The 15,458-nt window shown below is 45.8% G+C and overlaps 5 annotated features.

Annotated features, from left to right (window-relative positions):
* Positions 2,321-2,821: an enhancer, noted in NCBI's record as "H3K4me1 hESC enhancer chr12:130682728-130683228 (GRCh37/hg19 assembly coordinates)". NCBI's record gives its function as "activates a minimal SCP1, AML or CMV promoter by ChIP-STARR-seq in primed H9 embryonic stem cells {active_cell/tissue: H9 hESC(primed)}" and the evidence as "EXISTENCE:reporter gene assay evidence [ECO:0000049][PMID:30033119]".
* Positions 4,746-5,040: a silencer, noted in NCBI's record as "tiled region #11699; K562 Repressive non-DNase unmatched - State 21:Repr". NCBI's record gives its function as "represses a minimal TATA promoter and a strong SV40 promoter by Sharpr-MPRA in K562 cells {active_cell/tissue: K562}" and the evidence as "EXISTENCE:reporter gene assay evidence [ECO:0000049][PMID:27701403]".
* Positions 7,570-8,070: an enhancer, noted in NCBI's record as "H3K4me1 hESC enhancer chr12:130677479-130677979 (GRCh37/hg19 assembly coordinates)". NCBI's record gives its function as "activates a minimal SCP1, AML or CMV promoter by ChIP-STARR-seq in naive H9 embryonic stem cells {active_cell/tissue: H9 hESC(naive)}" and the evidence as "EXISTENCE:reporter gene assay evidence [ECO:0000049][PMID:30033119]".
* Positions 7,619-7,788: an enhancer, noted in NCBI's record as "experimental_25769 CRE fragment used in MPRA reporter constructs". NCBI's record gives its function as "activates a minimal promoter by MPRAs in K562 erythroleukemia cells, with activity observed for both the introgressed and non-introgressed 12:130677846 variant alleles {active_cell/tissue: K562}" and the evidence as "EXISTENCE:reporter gene assay evidence [ECO:0000049][PMID:34662402]".
* Positions 9,835-10,004: an enhancer, noted in NCBI's record as "experimental_25764 CRE fragment used in MPRA reporter constructs". NCBI's record gives its function as "activates a minimal promoter by MPRAs in K562 erythroleukemia cells, with activity observed for the non-introgressed 12:130675630 variant allele {active_cell/tissue: K562}" and the evidence as "EXISTENCE:reporter gene assay evidence [ECO:0000049][PMID:34662402]".

Here is a 15,458-nt window from a genome sequence, read left to right as displayed (position 1 = left end):
TCCCCATCCAATTACTTCCCACTCACACCATTGCTTACACCTCAGTTTCACCCACCATTTTCCGTACCTGGTTGGGGCAGCCACCTCCTGGCTGGTGTCTCTCCTGCCACCACTTCTCCCCTTCAGTTTCATTCCCCATTGCAGCCAGAGAGAGACTATGAAAACATTAGTCAAGCCACACCCATCTTCTGCTCATAAAACCTCGGTAGTTCCCATCTCACTCAAAGGAAACTCAGAGAGCCTTCAGTGGCCAAGAAGCCTCAGCGTGGCGTGTTCCCTGTCCTCATCAGGACCGCATCTCCGTCCTCTCCCTCACATTCATTCTGCTGTGGCCACACTGTGGTTGCTCACGTTGAGCTTCCCAGGGAGCCCCTGCCCCAGGACCTTTGCACGTCTGGTCTTTGTCTGGAAAACCATTCCCTGATGTGCCATGACTCATGTCATCACATCCTTTAGAGTTTTACTCCAATCCCACTTTCTCCATGATGCCTTCTCTTGCAATCCTATGTAAAATTGCAATAGCCCAACCATAGTTTTGCTATTCTCTTTCTTTATAGTTTTCACACTTATCACGAACATATCCTATGTGTTAAAAGCTCAAACTGTGCTTTTCCTGTAAGTCAGAAGCTGCCTGCTTGTCCCTGGGGCAATCTGAAATGCAGGCACATCACCTGAGAGCAGCAGCTCCCAGAGTGTGGCTCACGGACCTGCGGCACCAACATCGTCTGGGCTCTTGTGACAGGTGCACATTTCTGGGTCCCTCCCAGACCTCCCGACTCGGGTGCTTGGGGCTGGGGCTGGCATCCTGTGTTCCAGCCAGCACTCCCAGGATGTTCTGATGCTCAAGCTTGGGGACAACTCTCTCAAAGCAAACCCATGTTACATCCCACCCTGTTTATTGCTACCACCTCCTCCCCCAAGAACACAAGCTCATGACAGCAGGTTGTGTTCAGTCGTTTATCCCCGGGGCTAGGCCTGTGCCTGGCAGGGAGGGACACTCAATAGCTTTCTGGATGCATGTCGGTGGGATGAATTTCCTCTTAGGCCTGCATACTCCTTTCCGTCCTCTGCCTCTTCACTCCAGCACCGTCTCCACTCAGCAGCCCATCCCACCCTCCCCGGCCTGGGCTAGGAATTCCTCTTTGATGTCTTCATAAGACCTCATTCATATTTCCAGCGGTCACAAACCTTGTTCTTTTGTAATGATCTGTTTCCACTACAGAACATAAGGAAACCACTCCCAGTGCAGCCTGGCCACAGCAGCCCTCGCTAGGAGGAGGTTCTTATCATTGTGACCGAGTGCCCGCCTCTCCGCTTCCCACAGGGGAAGCCACTGGGCAGCCGTGCTCAGCAGAGGGCCCTGCACACAGAGGGTCCTCCACATCCCTATGACACGAGGGAAAAGCTGGTTATCTGATGTTCCTCTGACTCCGATCACTGACCGAGCCCCATGCACCTCAGAAGGTTTCTCTCCCACTGTGTCTGTGCTTCGTAGAGAGTTAACACACAACAAACACCTGCTAATCTGAATTCAGTGCCCACGAGTTTTCCGGGTCTGTGGCTACTGGCGCCGTCTTCCCAAAAGTCTGTTTAATACCATTGAACAGGCAGCCCTCCTAGAAGTTTTTCCCTACACCTGAGCTGGCCACAAGTTCTCCATCCTCTTGGTGGCTTTGAAAATCCCTTCAGGATTCTGAGTGAATACTTCAAGAGTGTGTTATAAATTCAGACACGTCTACGGGGCTTTAAAGTGCCGCAGCGGGAACCTCTTACTGAGGCAACCTGGGGGTAAAAGGCTTTTCACCTTCCCAGAGTGGCTCCACCCACAGCATTTTCCTAGCCTGAAGTTAAAGAGGAAGAGGAGGAGGAGGAAGAGAAACTACCTGGCTGAGCCTCTTACCACCCCTTCGTCTCTCACGAGGCAGCTGTTTGATTGCTACACTGTCACGTAAGTTAACACAGTCACCTGCCCGTCTCCTCCGTGGGATCAGCCTCAGGTCTCACTGTGACCACGACTTTGCCCAAAACATAGTGAACTACAGACTTAATTAAATGCATATAGACAGAGAGTGGAACGATGGCTTCAGGGACGGGATGGGAGGTGGGGACGAGGTGTTGGCGCATACTGGGCACAGAGCTTTAGCCGTGCAAGCAGAAAGCGTGCGGGGGCAGCACGGCGTGATGGTTGCACAGCCACGTGTGTGCGCTGAACATGACTGAGTCGTAGACTCACAGGGGGTAAGGTGGTAAAGTTTGTGTTACTGCATTTTGGGTATTTTGCCACAATTTTTTAAAAACCTTAATTTTGTAGATGTGTTGCATACAAGCAAGAGATACAAAACCCAAACTGTGATTTTCCTGAAAGCCAGAAGCTGCCTGCCTGTCCCTGGGGTGATCTGAAATCCAGGCACATCTCGCGAGGCCAGCAGCTCCCAGAGTGCGGCTCACGGACCTGCGGCCCCAACATCGCCTGGGCTCTTGTGACAGGTGCACATTTCCGGGTCCCTCCCAGACCTCCTGACTGGGGCACTCCAAGCTGGGGCTGGCATCCTGTGTTCTAGCCAGCACCCCCGGGATGTTCGGATGCTCAAGCTTGGGAACCACTCTCTCAAAGCAAGCCCGAGGCGCTCCCACGGCATCCCAGCAGCTCCTGCATCTCATGCTCTGCAGGGAGGAGGGGTGCAGAGAGCAGGGAACACACTTGGAAGCAAAAGAATCTGAATGGTGTATGAGAACCCCCAGCATCTTCCTCCCTGCACTGGGCCCAGGGCCCAGCTTACCTGCGTCAAGCTGTGCTGTGATTCCCCTGGCATCTGCTCGAGTTCCAGGTCTCTCCTGAAAACGAACACGCCTTTCTCCTTCCAGGCCTTTCTGCATCTGAGGTTTACCCAGCACAGGCCTAGGTGCCTCAGGTCTGAAATTACATAAGGGGTGACAGAAGCGTTTCAATGTTGGGACTGTGCTCTCTGTCGATGTATATTAAATATATATATATATATGTTTATTTAGACTTGCATCTGATTAGGTGGTGCAAACATGAGTAGCTCAAATATGGTAGGGGCCTCCATGGAAGAGTCATTTTCTGTTGAAAGAGGATATTTAAACAAGCAAAGAATGCCTTCTAAGAGACTTGAGATACGAACAACCCAACCTCAAGGTTATCTTGCGTGACTCTCCCTCCGCCTCTTGTAATGAGATCAATGGGTTCTGTTTCAAGCTCTGGACAGCCCTGAGCCCTCTGCGGCTGGGATCTCCTGCCAGGGGCGGCTGGGGAAGACCCCTCGCAGGTGCTCTTTCACATCAGAAATCACACAGATCACCTCAGGCCCAATTGCCTTCAGATATGTTAGTCTTCACCACAGATACACACACAGACTCTCACATTCACATACACAAACATGCTCACACACACTTTTACACACATCCGCACTCACATACACGAACCCACGCACCGTTCACAAAAACACATGCCCACACACTCTCACACTCACGCACCCACACACACATACATACATAGACACAGGCACACATATTTATACTCACATACATAAAAACATGCACACATTCATATACACACACACCTGCATACACACTCATATACACACACACACACACCCACTTCCCACTCTCTCACACTCACATACACAGATGCACACACATTCATACTGGTATACAAAACACACACACACTCTCATACACACAAACACAGGCAAACACATTCATACTCATATACACACACATTCATATATGCAAATACTTACCCATACACACCCTCACTCTCACACACACAGAGGCCCATACACACATCCACAAACAGGCACACATGTTCATATCACACAGCGGACGCAGGTGCACACATTCGTATCACATACAAACACACACACTCACACAGCTGCATTAGTTGTCAACGTTTAAACACTAGGAGGCAGAGCCCTGCAGGGAGAGGCGAGCAGGAATCCCAGGCGCCATGCGTGAGGAAGGGCGCAGTGGGATCTGCAGACTGGGGCGACCCTCACTCCCGGTTCCTCCCCACATTCTGCATCCCAGGGGCCCTCCATCTCCCCCACTCTCACCCAGTGTCTGGATGTCAAGTTAGAGAACTCGGAAGCTGCAGCCACACCTGGCTGGCCCTCCCACACGACCACGGGCTCTTCCTACTCCCCCAATAAAGAAACTATAGATCTTTGTTATTTGGTCATCTTAAAAAGTTACCTATTAAATCATTGCAAAATTAATTTTTATATATGCATAGAGTTTTTGAAAGCATAATCCTATCATTTTACTTATACATACATTAGTGTGTATTTATCACCTAAGAAGACTTTTTGAAACACACCACACTACCGTTGTCATGTTCAGAAAAGCATCAGTAATTCAGCAATGTCCTATAAGACCCAGACTGCGTTCAGTTTTCCTCAGCTGCCTCAGAAGGTTTTTTTTTGGTAAAATATGATTCCTGCTTTCCCCTCATTTATAAGCTGTTTATTTCTGTATTACAAAAGTCATAGATAAAAGAAAATACAGAGATTAAGATGCAAAGCCACGTCCGTCAGTCCCATGTCGATTGATCTTCACTGTCTGTCCTGGAAAATAACCATTCACGAGACTTCTAGGTGTGGCCTTTCATTTTGGAAAATACTCAGAATATTCTGAGTATTTGTACAAGTGAATGAGCACATGGTTTTTCTGCAGAAACACAGTCGTGTTTATTTACATTCTGCTCCTTGCTCTTTGCCCCTTACTGTGTGTCCTGGAGACCTTTCCACCAGCATGCACACAGCCCCTCGCTATTCCTTTTAATGGCTTTACCCTAATACAAAACAGTGTGCAAACCACTTGTGAAAATCTGGTTTATTTCCGATTCTTTGCTATTACAAAAACCAATGCAGTCAGCCTCAGCCTGTTTATCCTCTCATCTCGGTGCAGATACGCAACCGCGTGTGCAGGACAGGATGCAGGGACCCCTGCTGTGTGGACTGTGGCTCTGAGGAAGAACTCCCGGTGTGACAAGGAGGGTGTCCGCCACAGAGCACAGGGTGACGGTCCTTCCCATGATGTGCAAATCCACCCTGGCCGTCTTCTCACCGCAGCAGCACATCTGCCAAGGTCACGTTTTCAAGAGTTTCCATACCTCCAGTGCTGGCCGGAATTAATCATTTATGATATTTAATAAAACACACATCAAAAGCATCAGCCTTCTCATTGATGATGATTTTTTAATCATAACACGAGGTGGGGAGGATTCCTTAGATGTCTAAAGTAGCTCATTGATTGAAAAAGTTTGAGGCCGGGTGCAGTGGCTCATATCTGTAATCCCGACACTTTGGGAGGCCAAGGCGGGAGGATCGCTGGACTCCAGGAGTTTTAGACTGGTCAGGGCAATATGGCAAAATCCCATCCCTACAGAAAATATAAAAATTAGCCAGGCATGCCTGTAGTCCCAGCTCCTCAGGAGGCTGAGGTGGGAGGATTGGTTGAGCCCGGGAAGTTGAAGCTGCAGTGAGCCGTGGTCATGCCACTGCATTCCAGCCTGGGCAACAGAGCAAAACCCTGTCTCAAAAAACAGAGAGAAAAAGTTTGAGAAATAACTAATACGAAGGATCTGGATGCCTAATAACCATCTTACAGCTGGTCAAATAACATATTAGGAAAGGTCCCTTGTTACCACTGATTATGAAAATTGAAACAAGGTAATATACATTTGGAAGAACTTATCAATAACGTGGGCTCAAAACCCTGGAGCACATTGACCAAGATTAGCTATGGAGTTCTGTCTTTTGAGTATTTCTTGAAAGTGGCAGCATTTAAATGTTGGATACAGTTTTGTTCAGAGACAGCAGCACGAACTATACAACATCCTCGGGCTCCTCCTGTTTTCCGGGGTTTATACTTTCTATGGATTCCTGAACAATCAGATTTCTATCAGAATGTTAGCTTTTCCTGCATGCATAGGATTCATGCTGTATATCCACTAAGATTGGCTGTTTAGAGAAGACAGCACCACACTATTTCTTACCCACTCTTTCTTGTCTTCCTCTCCTTTTATTTTTCTTGAGATGGAGTCTCGCTTTGTCTCCCAGGCTGGAGTGCAGTGGAGTGATCTCAACTCACGGCAACCTCTACCTCCTGGGTTCAAGTGATTCTCCTGCCTCAGCCTCCCACGTAGCTGGGATTACAGGTACCTGCCACCACGCCTGGCTCATTTGTATTTTTAGTAGAGATGGGGTTTCACCATGTGGGTCAGACTGGTCTCGAACTCCTGACCTCAAGTGATCCACCTGTCTCGGCCTCCCAAAGTGCTGGGATTACAGGCGTGAGCCACCATGCCCGGCCCTCTCCTCTTTCTTAACACCTGAACTCCTTGTCCACAGTTATTCTGTGTCTTGCTAACTGAAATGAATATTGCATTGAAGGAGTTAAGCTGACGATAACGACGTAGATGGGGAAACATGATTTGGAGGTGACAGGAGTGTGAGCCTGCAGAAGCCGACAGATGGACACGGCATTCAGGTGTGGAGAATATCTGCAACATGTCCCGAAATGCAAATGCAAAAATCCAGGCAGCCTCTCCCCCCAGACAGTCGCAGGGAAGTGGGGAAGCAAGCTGGATGCTAACAGAAAATCCTTCCCAACGCTCTCTTCAGGCTGTGAGCACACTTGCGAGAAGGAAGTGGGTCAGGACAAAGCTGCTGCCTCCCGCGGATTCATTGTGACAAAAATAGCCCTAAGGATCCCGTTGCATTGTGTGCACCTCACTATTCTTCCCACAGGACCCCGGGAGCCACAGCCCCCAGAAAGCTCCTACATGTGAGATGCTGGTCAGTCCACACAATACATCAAAATGGGAGTCACCTCAGCCCCCAAGGATTTCAAATGGGACTCTCTAGGGTTTGGAGGGGGTATTTTTTGTCTTGTATTGTTCGGGGTTTTGCTTGGCTTGGCTTTCAAAATGGCATGCGGTGTTGGTTGACTGCACCAGAATCCACATTTTACCTACATCAGGTCAAAGGTCCCAGAGACCAAATAAGGAGACCAAAACGAATCCAAACAAAGCAGACCAAATAGGAATCCTTTGTCCATTGAGAAACTTCTAGAAGATGCTTATTGAACAGCCAGATTTATCTAGCTACTCCTGATAAAGTCATCTAAAGAGGAAGACTGCCAAGGAAATTAGTTGTCTCTCCAAAGACAGAGCGCCCATATCCTGTCACCCTTGCCTGCTCCAGGGCTAGTTGCCATGGACTCAGGGTAGAAAGGATGAAGACGGGCCAGGCGCGGTGGCTCACACCTGTAATCCCAGTGCTTTGGGAGGCCGAGGTGGGTGGATCGCCTGAGGTCAGGAGCTCGAGACCAGCCTGGCCAACATGGTGAAACTCCGCCTCTACTAAAAATACAAAAATTAGCCAGGTGTGGTGGCAGGTGCCTGTAACCCCAGCTACTCGCGAGGCTGAGGCAGGAGACTCGCTTGAACCCAGGCGGCGGAGGCTGCAGTGAGCCGAAATTGCACCACTGCACTCCAGCCTGGGCGACAAAGTGAGACTTGGTCTCAAAAAAAAAAAAAAGACAAAGCTCATGGAATAACTAAGATGCAGAGAGTCCCAAGATGAGCCAGAGACTTTCCCAGAATTGGTCATTCCCTTCTTTATGGAAACAGAGCCTCCTGGGTTGTAAGAGGAACACCTGGCTAGTGCCTGCAGCCACAATCTCGCTTGCAGCCTGGTGCGGGGACACACAGGGAGGCGAGCAGCTCCCTGGAATCCTCCTTTAAGGAGGAGCTGGTCCGCCCTGCACCCTCTATTTCCCTTCCCCCTTCCTGCTGGTGTAATGCCCATGGGTGCTGGTGAACAGCTACCACAGGAGGGCGAGAGCGGCACACTAGGGAATGGAGGGGCAACAACACGGCGGGAACCTGGTTCCCTGGACAGCCTCGTAGAGCAGAAGCACCTGCCAGCCCTGGCCGACATACCTCTGTATGTTACAGGCGGGGAAAACAATAAAGTCAGATGTTTCTGTCCTTGTCCTGTGGTGTCTCCTTCAGCAGCTTTGCCTGTATCCTCACTGAAATACAGGAAAATGCAAGAACAGCCCTGGATCCCGCTGCTCACTCCCAGGAGAGTGGAAAGAGTTGTGGGCCTGTCTGTGCTGGCTGGCTGCATGTGACTCGGGGTCTCCGCCGGGTCTCGCTTCATTTCTGAGCCATCAGCATGCGTGTGACTCCCCCACCCAGGCCCAGCTGCATGGCCGCAATGCCTCAGCCCCTCATGTTTATGAAAATCTGTCAGATTGTTGGCTGCTCCTACAACGACACCAGTATTATGTCAAAATAATTCTGAAAAGAATTTAAATATAAAAAATAAAAGAGGTTCTCAAAGGGTGAGCTGGGGACCCCTGGAGGTCCCCAAGACCATTTTGTGGGATGTTAGACGTTTTTTTCACTCTCCTTCTTCCAGGAGTGCAGCAGAGTTTTCTAGAGCCCACGTGACCTGAGATAACACCACAGACACAGAGATGAAATCCAGTTGTCTTTGATGATGCCAGACATGAAGGAGGCATGCACACATCAGAAACAACGCCACTCTTCTAATACTTTTGCTTTGGAAAGTATAATTAGTTTTCATGAGAAAGATGTTATTTGTGATAACATGCAAAGGTATCATTATCGTTATTTTTAAACAAATATTTTTAAAACTGTCAGCGTTAAATTCTAACAAGGTAGGTGATATGTTCTCCATGAACTAAAGCTCTTTGGGATCTCCAATAATTTCTACAACTGTAAAAGGGTCCCAGGACCCAAAGTTTGAGAAGTGCCAGTCTACATACACCTAGGGATCCAGAAACCCTTTGATTCGATGTACTCTGCTTATAATACCACCACTACCAACCTCCATATACACATATGCACATAAACACACGCATACACACACACACACACACCATATACATGCACACAAACACACACGCATATACATACGCACCATATACACACATGAACACATACACACATAAATATACACGCATACACACACATTCACACACATATTTACACCTTATACATACAGACACACATGCATGTATATACATATGTACCATAAACACATAAATACATATAAACACACACATACACACACATTCACACCTTATACACGTGCACATACACATATGCATGCATTACACATGCACCATATACATATACATAAACACACATATAAATACATGTAAGCACATACATACACATATATACACATACATATACACAGCACTAGAACAGCACATACACCCATGCGTGTATACATCACACACATACATGTACATACACACCACCCACATAAACACACACATACACCCATGCATGCATACACATATACACATACATACTCATGAATACATGTCTACACACACACACACACACACAATCAGTCATTTCTGACTCTTCTTTATCACAGGTGCAGATCTTGGTCCAGAGGATCCCCATGAGATGCCCCAGGGACAGGCACTGTCAGCCTCATCACATGGTCATCCCCTGGAAGGACAGCATGGCATGGGTGCAGGTATTTAAATGGTGGTAGCTGCTCTGATGAGAATGGTAGGTGACTATTCTAGTGCTTTCATTCATACTCCCTTGCTCCTGCCTCCCCGTTTTCTCATTAAGGCACTGACGGGATGCACAGACCCATGCCAGGGGCAAAGCCATTTCTGCTTCCTTCTGCTAAGCCTTTTGTTCAGAATGGTATCTGGCACAGCCCCCAGGGACTTTTCCAGACTTCCCTGTGGAGCACTAGGAGACAGGGGAAAGGAGAAAACACCCAGTGCTTAAAACTCGGCCTGACCACAGCCCATTGTCATAGCTTTGTACCCTCCAGCAAATAGATCCTTTATTAAGCCACCTGGGGACCAACTACAAAAACGATAGATTAGACACAAAGACAACCCTAATACCTTTCTTTTTTTTATTATTATTATACTTTAAGTTCTAGGGTACATATGCACAACGTGCAGGTTTGTTACACATGTATACATGTGCCATGTTGGTGTGCTGCACCCATTAACTCATCATTTACATTAGGTATATCTCCTAAAGCTATCCCTCCCCTCTGCCCCCGCCCCACGACAGTCCCTGGTGTGTGACGTTCCACACCCTGTGTCCAAGTGTTCTCAATGTTCAGTTCTCACCTATGAGTGAGAACATGTGATGTTTGGTTTTTTGTCCTTGCCATAGTTTGCTGAGAATGCTGGTTTCCAGCTTCATCCATGTCCCTACGAAGGACATGAACTCATCCTTTTTATGGCTGCATAGTATTCCATGTTGTATATGTGCAACATTTTCTTAATCCCGTCTATCATTGATGAACATTTGGGTTGATTCCAAGTCTTTGCTATTGTGAATAGTGCCACAATAAACATACGTGTGCATGTGTCTTTATAGCAGCATGATTTATAATCCTTTGGGTGTATACCCAGTAATGGGATGGCTGGGTCAAATGGTATTTCTAGTTCTAGATCCCTGAGGAATCACCACACTGTCTTCCACAATGGTTGTAAACTACTTAAACCCTAATACCTTTCAATAGGCTTCCGGCCGGGTCCTTGCTTTCTGACCACGGCAGAAGCACACTATGAAAGTTTAAATGAGAAACTCAGTTTTCTAACATTAAAAACTCACCTTCTAAAAGATCTCCTAAGTAAACAGGAAATAGACATTTCAATTGCAGATGTAAGAAAAACAATTACAGAATACTAAAACTTATAGGATATGCTGTTGCTCATAAACATTTGTATCACCCTAAATGAGTTTAATATTTAAAAAAAGAAAGCTCAGAGAAAAATGAAAGACATATTTAAGTCAAGAATTGACTTAATATATCAAAATCATATCATATACCAAAATCGTATACACACCTACATATCTCTAAGGAATATACTACTATAAAATGAGGTATACATGCAAATAAGAAAAATAATTGAAGTAAAAAGGAGAAAGACATTGAAATAAACAAATCAATGAGTAAAGAAACCAAAAGAATTTATAAATATATTTAAGAAATACACGATGTTCAACTTTCAAATAATGTATTAAAGCAGGAAGAGAACCAAACGCTTCTCTGCAGCACACGTGAAGCCCGCTGTAGGTTTCCACGTTCTTTAGGAAGACTGAATAAGGTTCTCAGTATTATCCAAATGAATAGAGAGAACACCCTTTAGTATTCAAAAGTCCCATGAGATTATCTGACAAAAGAAGTTTTAAGTTTCACCTTAAAAATACATGCACGAGGGTAATAAAAATATGTAAAGAGAAGAGTAATGAGGAGGGGTCACTTCCCCTCATTTTCCCCTAGGGTCTCGTATAGAGCTTAGCACATTGTAGATGCCAAATAAAGGTTGTTGAATGAATAAAAGAGGTACTCGAATTACCAAAATAAGTAGCTATTATAAAATTAAAGCAATGTATTATTGATGTAGTGGTAAAAAAATATTGGAATTGAGTCGAAAATTCAGAAACTAAGTATGGAAATATATTTACATGTGTCACCATTTGAAATTGAGATAATACTTTTGAAATAATAGAACAACAATTTGGGAAAAATTCAAATTATATTTCCTGTAACTACAACAACATTACACCAAATTTTTTTTTAGTATTTTAAACATAAAGAATAAAATTGTTAAAACATTAGAAAAAGATATAGTTACTAGAAGACTTTATATTCAGGACACTGGAGGCAGAACTAATATGGGAAAAAATGGATTGACTTAACTCCATGCAAAATAAAATATATTCTGTAACAAAAAGACCTTAAACAAAATAAAGTGACAAAGAAAACTGGGAAAATGACTTATGATGCATAGTAGCTTTGTTAAATCAGTAAGAAAAAATAAACGCTTCAGTAGAAAAATGGGCAAAAGTCAAGCAAATGATTCAAAAGTAGAAAAGCCAATAATTTATAAACAAATGAAAAGATGTTCATCCTCTTTACTGAGCAAAGCCTTGCAAATTAAAAGATGCCATAAGCACTGGGAAAAATGGAAAAAATACAGTTAAGAACCAATGTTAAGAGGCTGTGAGGCAGGTGGAGTTCATATACACGGCCAGTGAGGGTTCAGATTGATTCATCCTTCTCGAGGGCATCTGACAATTCGAACATGAAGCTTTAGTAATGCTCTAACTCTTTGACCCCAGCAATTCTGCTCGGGAATAATCCCACAAGCTCATAACAGCTGCGTGTACAGTAATACCCTTTATATTTAGAGAAGAAAAAAGAAAGAAAGCAACCTGAACACCTACTAGTGAGAGATTCATTTGATAAACTACAGAAATTGTATTATGGAATACATTAAAGCCATCTAAAATAATGGCATATAGTTGTCTGTTAATTGGCATGGAATAAGGTTTATAATATATAATATCAAGTGGAAATATTATAAAAGAGAATGGTGACATGAACCCATGTTGGTAAAAATGATAAATCTATGTAGACATGCACAATAGAAATCTAGAAATGTTATCAGATGACAGCTGTATTCTCTATGCTGCAATTTTCCATGCAAATACATATTACCTTAGGAATGAGAAAAAAAATCACCAAAATAAACACCTTTACTTTTCATTCTTTGTCTTTTGGACATGAAGTTTGGAAGATGGTGGTTATATCTACGGGGGACTGTGGCTGAAATTCTGATGGGCACGTGGTTTCCAGGCCGTATATCTGAGGAAACCAGGTGCCGGGGCACACTTCCCGCATGCAGGGGAACCCAAAGAGGATGGGGAAGGACAGGTGCCGGGGAGGAAAGGGCTACACATGGTCCAGGGTGCACAGGCCCAGTTCAGGCTGCTGGGGCCTGTCCTGTGTCTGGAGATTACAAGGACAGCAGAAGGAACGTGCCTTCGGAAGAACATATTCTAAGGACCATGGGAAGATTCTTAGATAACTACGACAGTACTGAGGTGGCCTAATGAGAATTTTCATTAAAATATTTACAAGCTAGGCCAGGCGTGGTGGTTCACACCTATAATCTAGCACTTTGGTATGCCGAGGCAGGAGGATCACCTGAGGTCAGGAGTTTGAGACCAGCCTGGCCAACATGGCAAAACCCCATTGCTACTAAAATACAAAAATTAGCCAGGTGTGGTGGCAGGTGCCTGTAATCCCAGCTACTCTGGAGGCTGAGGCAGAAGAATCACTTGAACCCGGGAGGTAGAGGCTGCAGTGAACTGAGATCGCACCAGTGCACTCCAGTCTGGGCGACAGAGTGAGACTCTGTCTCAAAAACAAAAACAAAAACAAAATATTTACGAGCACCAAGACTTTCATATTCTCTGCAAAAATCTCCTCTGCTATTAGTGGAAAGCGTAAAAGTAGCTCATCCATTCTGGAGGGCAATCAGATGAGACTGTTTCTATACCAAGCATCGCCTTTATAGAAAAAACAGTCCACAGCATTGAACCTAGGAATTCTACTTAGAGGAATTGGTCCCAAGGAAATCCTCCAAGATGAGAGCACAGATTTCACTCAAAAGGATAAAAAATACATTGTCATTTTAAAAAATTATGTGCAAAGTAAACAGAAACACAGCAATGTTAATGTTATCTCTGGGTGAAGGAATTTTGAGTGATTTTTACTTTCTCCTTTTGTCTTATTTATATTTAAACAGTTTTTTTAATTTTATAAAGTAGTCGCTTTCTACCGAAAAACAACCCCTGTAGTGTAAGTAATTTAAAATCTTCTGTCAAATAATTCCATCTTTTAACGTGGTTTAGTTGGTTTTCCTTTCTGTTACCTTTATTTCCCATTGGTTCTTTTCTCTTTTTTTTCCCCTCCAGTTAGAAAAGCAGGAGCAGGAAGTGGGTGAGAAGAGCCGTCTGGCTTTAGATTTACAGAGCGTATCCATCAATGACTAAGGCGAGGGCTTGGCTGACTCACCCTTTTCCTGCCTCGCCTGCTGAGGGGTCCACTAAGCTCCCAGGAATCCATGGATGGTGCACCTGCGAAGGAGACACGTCCTCCTTGGGGGACACGTCTGTCTCATCTCTTGCTTTTTTTCTAATCAAATCCATTGGTTCTCAAACTGTAACGTGCCTTGGAACCCTCCCGAGAGTTTGTTAAAGCAGATCTTGGGGGCCTGCCTCCAGGGCTTCTGACTCAGCAGGTCTGAGGTGGGGCTGAGTCCGTGCTCCTAACCAGGTCCCAGGTGGCGGTGATGTGGCTGGCCAATCACACACACCCATCCACTTTGAGTGGATCTGAAGCTCTCGCACTTTGAGAGCACAGGTGTAAATCAGTGGAAGGTATTGGCTGCAGAGAAACCAGTCATTGTTGGAAGCTCACCCAAATGAATTTTAACCTTTCAGGCCAACAACAAAAACAGTAAGGATAATTTTAAAACTTTCGCCTCAATGAGGAGAGCAAAACAGAAAAACATTGCTACAGCAGCAAGTGTGCCAGTATCACGTCTCACTGGCCTTTATCTTGGCGAGGCAGGTTGGATAGAGACTTTCAAAGAGATTTGACACAGAAAAACATACACTAGCTCCCATCCCCGCAAATAATTCAAAACCAAAGCAATTCTAACATGTGGGGTAAGCCTAAGGAAGTCCGGCAAACCGCCAGCACCTGCCATGTTGACTTCTCTTCAATGCTCCTTTTGAAATACCAACTTCATAAAAATAAATTCCTGGCATCCCTGCTTTTCCGTCATGCATCCCAGGCGTGTTACTAGGTGGCCTATTGGGTAACACAGCCCCGGTCAGAGAGGAAATCTCCGCTGTGACTTACACAGCTCCGGAGAGAAATGCGCAAAGTGTGTTCGCCTGGCCTGAAGTCAGAGTCAGGTTTCTGGTGTCTCGCGTCCCGGAGTTGTGAAGGCTGCCTCAAGGTCAAAGCCCTCAACTTAATCTCTTGCTCAGTTGCAATCTAGGCTGGCACAGATAGTGGCCCCTCCTTGCCCCGCAGCCCTCCACACAGCGAGAGGCTGCCTTCCTGAGGGGACTGGCTTGCCTGTTGTCTGGTATAAAGCCGGACGGTGTTCATGTCCCATGGAGAATCTCCTACCAGATTTGGCCAGCAGAACTCGCTCCCCACCCAAGCTCCAGCCAGCTGCCGGTTCCGGCTGCTTGAACTTGGGCTGCCCTCTGTAGAGAGCCATGAAGGCAGCCTAGGCAGGGAGGCGTGATGTCGGGGAGAGGTGCCTACAAGATGCATGGGCCATACAAAGCCTTCTGCAGGGAGGCATGGAGCCGGGGAGAGTGCCTACAAGATGCATGGACCATACAGAGGCTTCTGCAGGGAAACCTGGGATCACAAAGAGGAGGGAAACAGCACCCCGGCCGGTAGTGTGGCCAGTGTGTACTGACTTCACACCCTGCAGGGCGTTCCCGGGACCTTCAGTGTTATCATTGCATTGTCGATGCCAGCCATTTTGCAGGGAAGGAGGCTACGCATCATCTAGACCTCTCTTCCCAAAAA

Source organism: Homo sapiens, chromosome 12, assembly GCF_000001405.40.
Source record: "Homo sapiens chromosome 12, GRCh38.p14 Primary Assembly".
Classification (NCBI taxonomy): Eukaryota; Metazoa; Chordata; class Mammalia; order Primates; family Hominidae; genus Homo; species Homo sapiens.
The sequence above is the reverse complement of the archived record's forward strand: the minus strand, read 5'-3'. Positions and strand labels throughout refer to the sequence as shown.